Source organism: Homo sapiens, chromosome 8, assembly GCF_000001405.40.
Source record: "Homo sapiens chromosome 8, GRCh38.p14 Primary Assembly".
NCBI classification, from domain to species: Eukaryota; Metazoa; Chordata; class Mammalia; order Primates; family Hominidae; genus Homo; species Homo sapiens.
In genome coordinates, this window is record NC_000008.11 from 92,459,031 (window position 1) to 92,473,802 (window position 14,772).

At 35.6% G+C, this 14,772-nt stretch overlaps 1 long non-coding RNA gene across 1 annotated transcript in view; it reads right to left on the bottom strand.

Moving 5' to 3' along the window:
• Nucleotides 1–1,095: 1,095 nt before the first annotated feature.
• LOC105375639 (uncharacterized) overlaps nucleotides 1,096–14,772 on the bottom strand; it is a 49,696-nt gene continuing 36,019 nt past the window's right edge. The window contains exons 4-8 of the long non-coding RNA XR_007061005.1: nucleotides 12,693–12,835; nucleotides 6,556–6,621; nucleotides 3,932–4,128; nucleotides 2,589–2,734; nucleotides 1,096–1,543 (exon numbers count right to left, since the gene is read on the bottom strand). This is a non-coding gene — a long non-coding RNA (uncharacterized LOC105375639). The remainder of the gene's footprint in view (nucleotides 1,544–2,588; nucleotides 2,735–3,931; nucleotides 4,129–6,555; nucleotides 6,622–12,692; nucleotides 12,836–14,772) is intronic.

The window sequence follows — 14,772 nt, forward strand, 5'->3', positions numbered from 1 at the left end:
TATTTTGTTGTAGCAGCCTGAGCTGGCTAACACAGTTAATAGTTCTAAAACACAAATCTAAAACCTGTTAGTCACTGGGCCCTGGAATCTATAGTGTAAGCCCAAATGCCTAGTTAGTAAAGCATACAAATCATTGCTCACTGCTCCAATCTCAATTTCAGCTGTGTCCACCCTAGTACATGGTCTCTCCTAAAACTTTCATAGAGTGCCAGCAGTAAGCACCCTTCATCCTTGGGCCTCTTCATGTATTATCTCACCTATCTGAACATATTGCCCTTTTGCCAATCACGTTTCTTCTTCAAAAACTCCAAGTGGATCATGATCATTCCTGCTACATTTGAACAATCTAGCGAAGTTGTTACAAACATTGATTTAGAACTCTCTAAGCTTCAGTTTCTTTATCTAGAAGTTAGGAAGAGTAGTGAGGCCTAAATGAGATAAGTAAACTCCTTAGCACAATGCCTAAAGTATAGTAAGGGCTAGAAACATTTAAGTTGCTAGTAACTTGTGCATTGTTTTGTTTATATGGTTCATTGTATGCTTTGGGGGGTGGGGAGAGGACTGTTTGTCTAACCTCTCTGTCTATCCTGTTAGGGTATGAGCCCTAGTGGCTGCCACATAGTAAACACTAAATACATTTGGTTGACTGTAGAAATATTGGCTTCTCAGAGGAATCTGCCACTACTAAACAGTCTGCTCTTCCTTGGCCTACTCAATTATGTGCTCTCCAGATGTAACCTTCATCAATCAAATGCTTTTCAGTTTAATTTAGTAGTCTATCCTCTATCTTCTAAATGTAGGCACTTCCAAAATCTTCATTTCTAGTTCCGTACTTCCTCCAAAGCTGACGTATTATTTGTCCTTTCTCCCTGCTTTTTGTCTCTCTCACCCAAAACAATACTTCAATCACCCAAAAATTAATATCTTTTTAATATTGGCTCTGTGGTGCTGTTTACTTGATCCAAAGTTCGTAACTGACTTCATGCCTTCACTGCTGTCTACTGACCAAGCCCCATTTGGTTTACACAACATTCAAGCTCTTGTCTCTCTCAGTCCCTGCATCCAATCATTAGCCACGTATATTTGACTGTGGCTCAGGTTTCCATCATCTCTTGTGTGCTGCTTCCATTTTTGCCCTTTGAATTTATTCTCCATTAACAGAGAGAGTTTTGTTTCTAATCACTCAACTTAAAAGTTTTCCATGGCTCCCTACTGCCTTCCGGATGCAATTCAAACTCTCTGGTATGGCCCTCAAGGCCGGCCATGATCTGACTACTGTTCCACCTTCATCTCTAGTTTCTCCAACCATATTGGAAAAAAAAAAAATGGCAGACTTTGTGATTCAGTCCACTGTCATTGTGTCTTGACCTTATATTAGTTTGGACTTGTTTCCTCCTTTCTCCCACCACCCCTTTACCCGGCAAACTCCTTCATAGCCTTCTAGTGTTAGGCTTCTCACAAAAAGCCTTCTCTAACCCAGGAATCAAGAGTTAGGTGTTGCTCTAGTGTTTTTCATATTTTCTCTTTTCTTGTCTCTCTCTTCCTGAAAAAAAGGACAAACTTCATGAGGTTGGTGGGACAAACATTTTTAAACTTGTTTGTTTCTTAAGAGTTGTGTCTATTGCTCCTAGCTAAGTGCTTTATATATAGTAGGTATTCAAGTAAATATTTATTGAATGAATAAATTTCAAGCCATCCAGGATCTGTCTTGATCAGGCCATATCCCCTGCATGACCTCTGGACTTACTACTCTTCTTATTCCCCAATCATTTCTTGCTCATTCTGGCTTCTCTGACTTATACTTTTCCTAAATGAAGAATCTTTATCTTTTCCCCATCCTTGCCCAGCAAGACACCTCCATGGACACTAACCATAAGTCAGGATCTGCTGAATTCTTCTTCACCATGGAGCCCTCTCTGACCAAGACGCTTGTGACTATGACTGCGTCCTTTTATAAACTTCCCATGTAATGTTTATTATGACTCCGTGCCACTTAAGTCAGGCTTTGCTGTGTGTTTTAACTTTTTTGTGGGGGAGCGGGTGGAGGAAGAACCTCAGGTGAAGAAGGTTGAATTAATAATACTCTGTTTTAACTTTGTATGAATTTACAATATATGTCTCAAGAAGACTGAAAGATTTTTAAAGGTAATAATCATATACTTGCTTCTAATATTCATAGTCCACAGAACAATATTAGGCACATAAAAAATAATCAATGTTTTTATATGAATAAAGTAATTTTGATTATGACTCCATTACAGAATTGTACTAGACAATAGGAAAGGAACCACAGTAGTTGCTACATAAAATAAACAAAGGTAATTAAACTTTTATCAGTTGATAACAAAATTCTGGATTTAGGTTTAAACTAATGGTCAAGATGTGGTTGAGGCCAAATGACCTATAAGTCTAGATCCTGAAGTGAAAAATATTCTTCCCACTTAAAGAGGGCATTAAACTCTTTGAAACCACTGAGGTACCAGGGCCAAGATCTTGCTACATAAGGTTATTAAGTTGTGTACAAGTAACCTTAAATGATTGATATTCCTCAATGTGGTTTATTTAAACCAAACAAATAAATTATTTACCTGAAAGACACAGAATAATCTATTCTTCCTTTCCTCCCTCCTCTCTCTATTCTTCCACAGACATTTATAAATAATTGCACTGGGCAGAGAGGTAAATGCATGTCCATATAGGTGTCCAATAGCTTCTTGATGACAGAGTTTCATTTCTGTGCCATGAATAAAAATAGTAAGACTAATTTGAAGAAGTGAGTTTTTTGACAATGAATTAAGAATGATGAATTAATAATGTTTTCCAGCGATCCATGATTTCTTCCATTTACAACAGTCATTAATAAAGGAACATGTTCTATGTTTAGTTAGCATGATTCTATAGGAAATCTAATAGTTCAAAGACAGTCTATAACTGTTCACTCTACATCTTCCAATTGTGTTCAAATAAGATGGCAATTTTTAACTTGAAATTAGGATTTATGCATACCATTTGAAGTCTGTAAGCAAATACATACAAATATGAAACAATTTATTTATAATATTGAACAAACATGACATATTGTACCTGTTTTGCCTTCATTAGGAACCTTGTGTGTCTCTCTGCTCAGACATCGCTTCTTTTTTTTTTGAGACAGAGTCTCACTCTGTAGCCCAGGCTGGAGTGCAGTGGTGCAATCTCGGCTCACTGCAAGCTCCATCTCCCAGGTTCACGCCATTCTCCTGCCTCAGCCTCCCAAGTAGCTGGGACTACAGGCGTGTGCCACCACGCCCGGCTGATTTTTTGTAGTTTTAGTAGATGGGGTTTCACCGTGTTAGCCAGGATGGTCTCGATTTCCTGACCTCATGATCTGCCTGCCTCGGCCTCCCAATGTGCTGGGATTACCGGCGTGAGCCACCGCACCCATCCCAGACATTGCTTCTTAGCATATGCACCTCACGTGGTGTCTCAAATTAGTGAGAACATTCACCTTAACTCATTAGCTGCATTATTGGACAGAGACATACTACTTGCTTGAGACTGTCATGTTGATTATCTAAACAATTATGGTAAACTTGTCATGCTATTTGTTGTAATGAAGTAATGATATCATTGTACATGAGGCTGAGTTAGTAGAATTACATCTGTTTATTCTGTTTACATGGATAGTTTTGTTTTTGATAGTGAAAGCGAGAGTGATTTAATATGAACACATGCTTATTTTACTTTTAAATTGTTATTCTATTTGGGAGCTAGTTTTATTATTATCTCTTCTTACCCACCCATAAAGCTATCAGATTCAATACCTTATCTGCCTTAAACATATAAAAAAACTTTGTGTTTGAATTAGTTATTGAATGTTCTGAATAGATAAACCTCATGACTTCAGTTTTCACCACAGTTGTTTCTCTCTCAATTCATAATTCAAACTCACCATAGGTTCAATTTGTGAAATCAATACACTACAACCATAGATTGTGTCAAGTCAAACTGACGCTGGTATTGAACTTCTGAATTTGAGACCAGGTCTTAAAGACAAGGAACAAAAACACCAAGAAGACAGCAGGTGGGGTTTCCATTGCAGATACAGAAGGCAAACACTTTGCAGCTTCCATTAACTTTCAACTTAACCTGCGATAGAGAAAGAAACGTATAAGGGCGTATTTTTAAATTCTGGGTGATAAAACACACACAATACCATGCAGGCAGGAAGTTGAAAGACTCATCCAAGAGATTCTTTGTCCATTAAGAAGTAGCAAAGCATTGAGATTAATGGCACAGGCTCTGGAATCACTTTGCCTGGCTTTGAATCCTACCTCTATAAACTAATAATTTTTAATCTTGAACAAGATAGTTAATTGCATTGGTATTTCAGTTGCATTTACACAATGAATATAATATAATACTTAACTCACAAAGTTGCTGTGGTCTTTGAACAAATTAATACTTTATCTCATAGAATATGACTCATTATATTTTATAAACCAATAAACAATGCCAAGTAAACAATAATTTCCTATAGGTTGTCAAACATAGCCCAATTCCAGAGCCATGAATATGTGAAAGAAAATATTCATTTTAGGATTGATAAAATATGGTCCATATGAACACTTAGATCAGTGTCTGACAGATTTTTACATGCATATTAAATGTTGGCTGTTGTTATTTATGATGTCCAGGTAATAATCATACTAATAATTATCAATAAGCTGTATTTATGTTCCCATTTTCCTACTTCTGGAGAAGGGAGAATTGTGTTCTTCTACAAAATGGTGCCATTAGGAAGATAAATATTTAGCTGGTAATGATAGCTGGTATTTCATTGATATTTAAGGATGACTCTAGGGAACTGCTGATTAGGTAAGATCACACACCTTTCAGTGTTCTACATTTACCCCTCCTAAAGTCACACACAGCTGGGGGACAGGGTCTTCCCTCATGGGTGGAGGAACTGTCCCTGAGTCAAAGTTAGAATATATGAGGCCTCGTGCTTCTTAATAGACAATATAAAGACTATTGTAATCTTTAGAACAATAACAGTTTGGAACTTCAAAAATTACAGAAAATAAGATCAACTTACTGATGCAAGCAACTCACTCTTATTCATGAAATAATGGCATTTGCAGCAACCTGGATGGAACTGGAAACCATTATTCTAAGTGAAGTAACTCAGGAATGGAAAACCAAACATCGTATGTTCTCACTTGTAAGTGGGAGCTAAGCTATGAGGATGCAAAGGCATAAGAAAGATACGATGGACTTTGGGTCTCGAGGGAAAAGGTGGGAAGGTGGCGAGGGATAAAAGACTAGACATTGGGTACAGTGTACACTGCTCAGCTGATGGGTGCACCAAAATCTCAGAGTCACCCCTGAAGAACTTATCCATGTAACTGTGAGCTAGAGTGTGTGTGTGTGTGTGTGTGTGTGTGTGTGGTCTTTACCCATATATTCATAGACTAAAACTTGGGTGACTTTAGTAAAGAATAAATAAGCATCGGAATACGGTAGGTTCCTAAATTCTTCTCTTAAGTAGGAAGCAGTAAATATTGTTTATTGAAGGAATGAAGAATGAAACCATCATAATAAATGAAAAAATTAGGAATAAAATAAAAAAATGAGACAGTAAGGTCTGGTAGAATGGCTGAAAGAGGGATGTCACCTTTTAGCCAAAGTGCTCGCCTTGTCATCTAACCCAGAACCAGGGTCACAACACTTTTGGACAAGAAAGCATATTGCCTAACAGATTAACACAGAAATAAAGGGATCTGCTAAGTCACTGAAATGCAAAGCAAAGCGCATACACTAAAATGGAGAGATTTGTTTCCCTGACTCCTGGCAGCAAGGTCAGGCATTTCTTTTGCTAATAGCCAGTGAACCAATGAATGACATACCATTAATGGATGTCTTAAGTTATGGGAAGGAATCGGGTTACCCAAATGAGTGTTCTTTCAATGCACTGAAAGGAAATGATCGGCAACCTAGAACTAGAAGAGCTTTTACATTAAAGAGTTTCCTTTACATCTTGAAATGTGCACCACTAGGTTAGTTAAAAGGAAATGAAGGATGACTAAACTCCTAAAGGAAAAGGAAGTAGTGTGTTCTTGGTGACAAGTTGGGGCAAATCTTCATTCATGACTGGTGGCCAGGTTCCCCACTCTGGAAACAAATAGAATTCTAAAATAAAAGTGTTAATTGCTGTTAAGATAGAGAATGGTGAGTGAAGAGTGATGGAGTTCTAGTGTCAGTTCAGTTATATATGTTCTTATATATGTCAATGAAAACGTACCACAATTTGCCTAAAGAAAAGGCAAGAATTTGGTTTCTTGGGTTTCTGCATGCTTGGTATTATCATAACACAGCTAGACTAGAAGGGTAAAGCTATACAAACTCCCAGGGGTTGGAAAGGGATTTCTGACCTTCACATAGGATTTCTCGGTTCACTGGATATGTGATATTATTGTGGGATTTTCTCTTAACCCTTAAGTACCTATCTCTTTTGTAGGCACAATAAAACTCGTAAGAGCTATAACTGGGTACACAAAGGCCAATTTGTCATACCATTTAATCACAACAGGGTTCTCATTGTGAAGCATCAGGTCACAATCCCTTTGTCAATTCCTTTAGCTGAAAAAAAGTGAAAAATACCTTTGAGGTGGCTATTTATTGCACTATAGGCTAATAGTACTTGTCCTTCTTTGATAAAGTAACAACTCGCTTCTGGGGTCATTGTTTCATCTTTCTCCATGTCCTGTACTGCTGATTCAAGTATAGTAATACTGACTTCAAAGGGAGCTTACTAGTGCATGGAGAAAGACAGGAAACATGGCGGGAATATTTAAGAGAGGACTTTACAAGGTCAGTTTTCCTTTTTGCAATGTCCTTATGAGCATCTCAAACCATTTTTTTTCCTTTCTATTTTCAGGAACCAATGGATATTTGGCCCATTTCTTATCCACAACCCCCATTAAAGTCATTAAAATGTTTCATTTAAATTCTACAGACAATACAATTAATACATGGATTCTTCTGGTCTGTGTATGCAATTCATACTACCTTGCTTAGAAGCACTCTCACCAGTGCCCTGTGGATGAAATCAGAATTTTGATTCCAACTTACATCACCTTCCTTGGGCATAAATACATTTGAGAAGACGATGAAAACCAGAAATCAAAATGTTGCTTTTCTTGATACAGCACCAAATTCCGTACCCTCTCTGAGGCTTCTTGTAGTCATCCCCTCTCCTCCAAATTTGCTAATGTGATCATGTTGATAAAGAGTGAATAGATTTAAGTCCTTATTTTCCTTTGAGCTTTAGCATAAAGTGCTCCTAAGAACATATCTTATTTATATAAAATAGGCATGCATGCATACACAATCTCTACCTATACCAAAGCATTTTCTTTATTATAATGAGATGTATCTTTCTGGATTTTCTGCACAATCAGACTGTAATTAAGCATAGGAGGCTGCAGGTAAGGGCATGAGATGCATGTTTAATTAAAAGAGAAAATTCTGGTTAAGTATCAATTTGTATGACATTCAATTTACAAGAATTCAGAAAGCTACTCTTTCTTATATATTTCCTTTTATATATGTGTATGTATTTACACACATGTATGTTTCACACTGAAATCATATTCTCATTTCATATGCTAGAGTTGCTGCCACATTTACTGCCCCCATCCAAGAAAATGTTGATATATATTGAAAATCTCCATGAAAAATAAAATGCCTGCATAAATTCATGTAGGGCAAATAAAAAAAGCAGCCAGGACCCAGCAGGCTGAGTCAATGTATAGCTTGCATATGGAAACAATGACATGATTGTTTACTCACTGGTTTAATGATATTCACTTTCTCCTAATGGCAACGTGGAAAATGTGAGTACCAGATGCTGCGCCCAGAGCACAGAAGAGAGAACAGGGAAGGTCTAGAGTAAGGAATTTATCCTGACACCATAATGTAGTGTAACTCTTCAGTTTATTAACGTGGTGTTTTTTTTAGGAAAAAATGCTTTGATGTCTGCGGCTTAAATTTCCATATTTTTATAACAGTTCAGCAACAAATTTACATATTTCCTGGAATCTGCAGATATAAAAGCGGTAAAACACTCCAGGCATTATTAGACAGTAGATTATAACCCATTACTATTGTTTCAATTAGCAATGTAAAAGTGACCTGCAGTGTTCCGATGACCCACTAATGGATTTAAACGCTTTCAAATATTAATGCAGGTTTTCTAAAGATGAATCCCAAACCCATTATTCCTGGAACAACTATGAGCTGAAAAGCTGGCAATGATTGTGCATTATGTGGAAAGGCTCATGGTTAATTAAATGAATACCTAGCATTACACTATTCACTTTAGTGCTACAAAATTATTTCTCATTGATTTTTACATTCTGAGTCTGTGATTCAATTTACTTCTGCAATTTGTGTTGTCGTGTCAATAAAAGAGAACTGCTTGAAGATGGAAGCATTAGAGACTGATAAATACATTAAGATCCAATGAAAACTGCAGTTTTCCTATTGTTTTCCTCTATTGAAATATCATTTTTAGCAGCACTTTGTTATGTATTATTAATACAATTTTTGTTTGCTTCCATCTGCTCTCCTCTCCCCTTTTCTATTCAGGAACTGGAATGTTAGTGATTGCTTGAGGGTGAGTAGCTAATTTTTCAGTAACAGTTCTCTCACTATCAAGAACAAAAGCACCATCAACACAAATCTGTTATTTCGTGTTAAATGAACTAGAAGGCCAGATTCTTCATCAAAGACAGCGTGGGGAGTTACTGTGTGTGGGTGTGTTTTAATTTCAAGGAGCAAATGACACTCCTGTCTGTTAAGCCATGAAAGCCAAAAAATATTAAATAGTTCTAACCCCATTATACAATTTATACACTATAAATATAATCTGATATATTTATAACGTGCATATTTTATTCAAAAATTATATTACACATTTTACAATTGAATCCACATGTGCATTTTCTCTTTGCAACCTACTTTGACTCAGTTCTATAAAAGTCCAAAATTGTAAGTTGAGATTTGCTGTTAACATTTTTTTTCAAAATTTTGCAAACTTCAGCTTCATAGTTTTTGGTGTCTAAAGAAATCTTACGTGCTATTTTCATGTGATTTAGACTCATAATGCAGGAGTTGTTTGGTATATATTGTAAATTTAATATTTCCTGAGAAAAGTTGGTTTACCAGTCAAATACAGCAATCAATATTGTCTACCTAGTTCATTGGAGTTTATGGTGCCCAAACTGTCTCCATGAAGATGCTCATTAGATCTCAACTTATCCCATGTTTAAATTTGTCTGTACTCTCTTTAGAGAACATGGGTAATCAAATCTTAACTAAGCTGTTACATTCATCTCTGAAGGAGTCCCCTTCCATTGTCTACAATCTTCTCACAAAACCCATCTTCAAGACATTAGTTTTTATATTGATCTGAGTTGCTGATTAGAGTTTGACCATTGATAGGCTATAGAGCCTACAACATAGAAAAATTTACAATGAAGGTCATTTCACAAATAGTTTTAAGCAAAGAGCATCCTATAGACATGAAATAATCAAAATAATACAAATGACCGATAAATGTAAGTTTAACTTCCCTATAAATTAATGAATGCTGATTTAAAGAAATTAGCTGCATTTTGCATATAAAATTGTCAAAGTGGAGAAGAGAGCATAGTATAATATTTAATATTGGTGACAGAATATATATATATATATATATATATATATATATATATATACACACATATACATCCATACATATATATATCACTGGTGGGATGTACAGAGATGCAACTTTTCTAAAGGTAGTTTGGACATAAAGTATTTTTAAATTTTGTAAATTTTTTATACCTTCCACTCTAAAATTCTACTTTTTGGAATTTAAGCTCAAGAAAAAATTATAAATATGTAAAAACATTTAGTTTTATAAGCTGTTCATCTAGACCTTACTTCAAGTGTCATTTATGAGAATAAAAAATTTGAAAGCATCCTAAATGTTTAAAATGAGGAATATGTTAATAAATTATGGTACTTAGTATAATTAAGTATTATTAAAGGATGTAAAATAATGTACAACAATATTTAATGACATGGAAATATACTTAGATTATATTGTTGTTTGAATAAGATACATTTCACACACACACACACACACACATACACACACACACACACCTGTTCACTCACAAGTAACCAAACATTGTAGGATGTGTACTATGGAGTCTTATTTGGTATTTAATGTTAGGATAATTTTGAAGGTATCCCAAAGGATTTAAATTATAGTTTTAAATCATTTTTATATAAAAAGGTAACTCCTCTTTATTCTAGAGCAATTCGAAATGATTTTAAACAAAACAAAGAAAACCTACTTATTTGAAAATCCATATGAAGATATATAGAAAAAGAAGGTAGACTGGAAGGATATATAAGAAAATGTTAACAGAGATTTATAACTGGTATGTTGTAAGTTATTATTTTCTTGTATTTTTAAATATTTATACGAATAATATGGATAATCTATTTTTAGTACTTAAAAATATGATTGAGAAATCTTATTTAGTTATCCTACACAAAAACCAAGAGGAAAGAAATCCTTGTAACTCTTATGGATGGAAAGATGGGACAATTAGAAACAGCCATGTACCTGTCAACTAGGAACAACTGGTGTAGCTGTCAAAAAAAGTGAATTAGAATCCTAACTCTGAGTTACTAGCTGGGGGACCCTAGGCAACTCACTTAACTTCTCTGGGCTTCAGTTTCTTCTAAATATACCTATATCTCTTAAAAGGGAAATGGTCAAATGCGAAAAGAAAATTCCTGGCTTTGTTACATCGGAATGTTGAGATGTAATGAGTTCTGAGAGGGCTGCACATGCTCTTAAATACTGCCCGTTTCTCACCCCTGTTCCAGTTCAATGCTTAACTAACTATCCCAAGTTGTATATGCTTAAAAACCAATATGACTTTTACCTTGTGACATTTGCTTCAAAGGATTTTCTGTTATTCAAATGAAATATATCTTTTCAGAAGAGAGCAGAGCAATTAGTAATCAAGCCATGTTCATAACACTTTGTCTCCAGTAATTAGTAAAACGTCATCATTGGAGTTGTGGCCTTTGCCTGAGCTCCAAGAGAGCCGGGCCCACCCAAGACGTGTTCTACTTGCGGCTGTAACCCCTACGTCTGCACATAGTAGGTTCATATCACCAAACACATTGATGTGACACATCCAAATGACAGTTCCAAGATTTATGCTCTGCATTTTGATAACAATTTTTCATCTCTTGGTAGCAAAATTGAAATAAGTCACTAATACATGATTATATAATGCTTTGCTTATTATTTAGCTACTAAATAAAAATTGTATAATATGAGAAGAACAAGAACAGTTTATGCTTTTAGGAACCTGGGGCTCGCGTTCAGTACCCAAGAACTAGCTCTTTCCTTTGTCAAAGGCCCTAACACATGCTCTCATCCCCCTCCTCCATCTCATAAGTCAAAGTTGCACAGCTTGGAACTGGGTCCTGGCTTGCACCCCTCAGGCAGTGCCTGAAGTGTGGCTGGCTGGTGAAGATGGCCAAGAGTAGGCCGTTGGGCACAGAGCACTCTTTATTAGGTCACTGGGGAAGGAGATTTTTTTAAAAAAGATTTCTTTATAATAGAACTGTTCAGTATCCAGACAGTAATTCAGTAATCACTGTGGCTGAAGGTAGACTCTAAGGATGAACACACTTTCTAGAATCTGGCTTGGGTTCATCAGATTTGCACCGAGAACCAGATTGGCTGGTTCTCAGTGCAACACATTTACAGGAGAAACAATTTTAGGCTTTTAGTACCTCAGTATGCGCATCCTCAAAATGGGACTACTTACAATATATAAATGTATATAAATCCTGCGACTGTTATGAAGATGAAATTAGTTAATATAGAGAGAGCACATTAAGCAGTGAAAGTACAGGGCAGGTTCTTAAATGTTAGTTCCTACCAATTACAATGATTGCTACTTGACTGCTCCCGCTGAAGGTCTGACCAACATTTCAAGAGGCTTTGTCTGAGGTGAGACAGAGCAAACTGGAGTCTCTCTAAGCTGAGTAGTAAAGTGAGTGAGAAAATGGCTCAGATTATTAAAGCCATGAAGATATTGGACTAAAATTCCTTTACAAATTCCTTCATTCTTTACTTGGTAGGTACAAATCTGGCTATTAATATTCAGAAGGCATAGTTTTATAGCTGAAAGAAAACAGAGTACGTTCAGCTTAGTTTAGTCTTCCATTGAAGGGTAGAATGAATTGCTAAGTGTTAGCCAGCCCGCTGCAGGGTTAAAACTAGTTCTCTTGCCTCACAGCCCTGGACTCGCTCACTGTATCTATTTCTCTTAATGGCTTAGAAGAGACTATTTTTAAATTAGACCAAACAACAACAGCAAAAAAACAAAACAAAACAAAACAAAAGACTGCAGCTCTCTTAAGTCTTAGGGCATTAAAAGAGACTTTTTTTGGCAGTATTGTATTTTATAAATCACCTTATGTATTGGATCACCCACATACACACATGCACACACACACACATACACACACACCCTCTTAATTATTAACCAATAGGCCTCTAGATCTCTAGATCCAGGGCTTACAAATACATTTTTTACAGGAAAATTCAAGATCCCATGCGTAACTGCTTTTTCAGTAGTGTTTTGCAGAGGAATGACCAGAATGATACTGGAGCCTGCGAAACTTGCATCCAGGGCATGGATTGGCTGCATAACAACTGTGTTGTCCCCAGGTTCTAGGAAGCACTGGTGGAGGACCTCATTGTCTGCTGCAATATAAAAGGAACATTTGTTCAGAGCATGTCACTCTCATTCATTTTGAAAACAACATGCAGAGTTAAATGAATCCAGTGCTGAAGTATGCAGCTGTCCATGCTGTAGAAGGGAGCATTGTCAGTTGATGAAAATTCTAAACTGATAGTTTAGGATGGTGTCAGAAATTGTACTTTCCACAAGTTAACTTACCAGAGAATATGGCACTCTTCACATTTGACCAAAATTGTGTGTTTATCTACACTATCTTTACTTGCACCATTACCTTGATTGATACACAAACAGATAATAAGATAGAAACATTGGAATAACTACAACATAAGTAACGAGGGGAAAATAGTTTGATGAAAATAGGGTGAAATAATAAAAAAGGAGCATTTCATAATGAAATAGACAAAAAGCACATTTTGAACATGCATTTTCTTTTAAACATTTTCTCAAATTTGATGATATTCATTTTATTTGAAGTTATCTAAGATTAACTTAATACCAAGAGAAAAAAATTATCTGTGTTATATCATAAAAGCTACAAAATCTAATTAGATAGTAGAAATCTGATAGAAATTATTATAGCCATAAAGAATTAGAACATAATAAATAGTACAGATTTTAGGAACTTACTATCTAAGGTAGGTAGTGCATACATTATTAAGCTATGTGAAAGTCATCTAGAGAAATATTTATTCAGTAGTGAACTAAATTAGGTTACTGAAGATTATTAAGGTCACCATAAAGACATTAAACCACGGAGAGAAAGGGGAAAAATTCTGAAAATACATCAATGGAATGTAAAGTGTCTGAAATCCACAAAGAACAGAATATGTGTTTGTCAGACATGTTGGATATACTTTTGAATTGTTATATAAATCGCTTTGTTTTTCAAAAGCATTAGGAAATACATTTTACATAATATGATTAGAAAAGGAAAACTGCATTTTGTGCAAAGCTTCATTTGAATTCATTTTCTTTGTTATGGCTTAACTAGCCCCAGCTTCTCACCTCTAATCATAACAGACTCCTTCTGGTTTAATTATGTTTCAAGTTCTGAAGATGAGTTAACCACTTACACAGGGAATTTGACTTCATTGATCAGTAAAAGAAAAAGAAGTCTATGTTTTGATTGGCCATTTAACTGACCTATTGGTCAGTTGGCTTCTTAAGATGGTTCTTTTTCAGTCATCCTACTGAACTACCCAACATACAGATAGGATGCAAGAGGATCCCCTCAGACACTACAAAACAGATAGAATTATAAGTCAGTTTTTCATTAAATGCATAGCAGAGAGGCTGAGAACTGAAACAGAGAGGACTTCCACTCCACTGAAGGAAATTGTACCTTTAGAGACTAAATGGTGAAGAAAATTGCTAGAAAGAGCAGGACAATTTAACCTGAAGCTTGACTGCACATCCTATCCTTTTGTCCGGCTAAAAAAATCAATTTCTCAGTTTACCCTGACAATTTTAATTGTAGGGCTGACTATATCACAGAAGAGCAAACACGAGATTAGATCTGAAAATATGTAATTTACTTTGGCAATCAAATAACAATGAAACTATTAAAATATAACACCCCTTCCACTTATCTATTGAACATGTGTTCTTAACAGATTCTGAAATACATGTTCACCATACACACACATAATATAGTTTCTTACAAAAAGTAATTATATGTATACCTTAATGAGATTCCACTAAAATTCTGTGAGCTGAAATTCACTGTAGGTAAGAAAAACTAAAAGTGTTATTCTACTGGACCTTACCTTCCTTGGAGCTCAGTGTATCTGATGTAATAAATTCACACTTTGCTGTGTTAAATTTGTTCATGCAATAGAAGCTCATAAAAAAGAATATAGACTAAAGAGTAAGTTGCATAATGAGATTTAATCTATGTAAAATATGTCCCAGAAGAAATGTCCTTTACTTTGATTATATC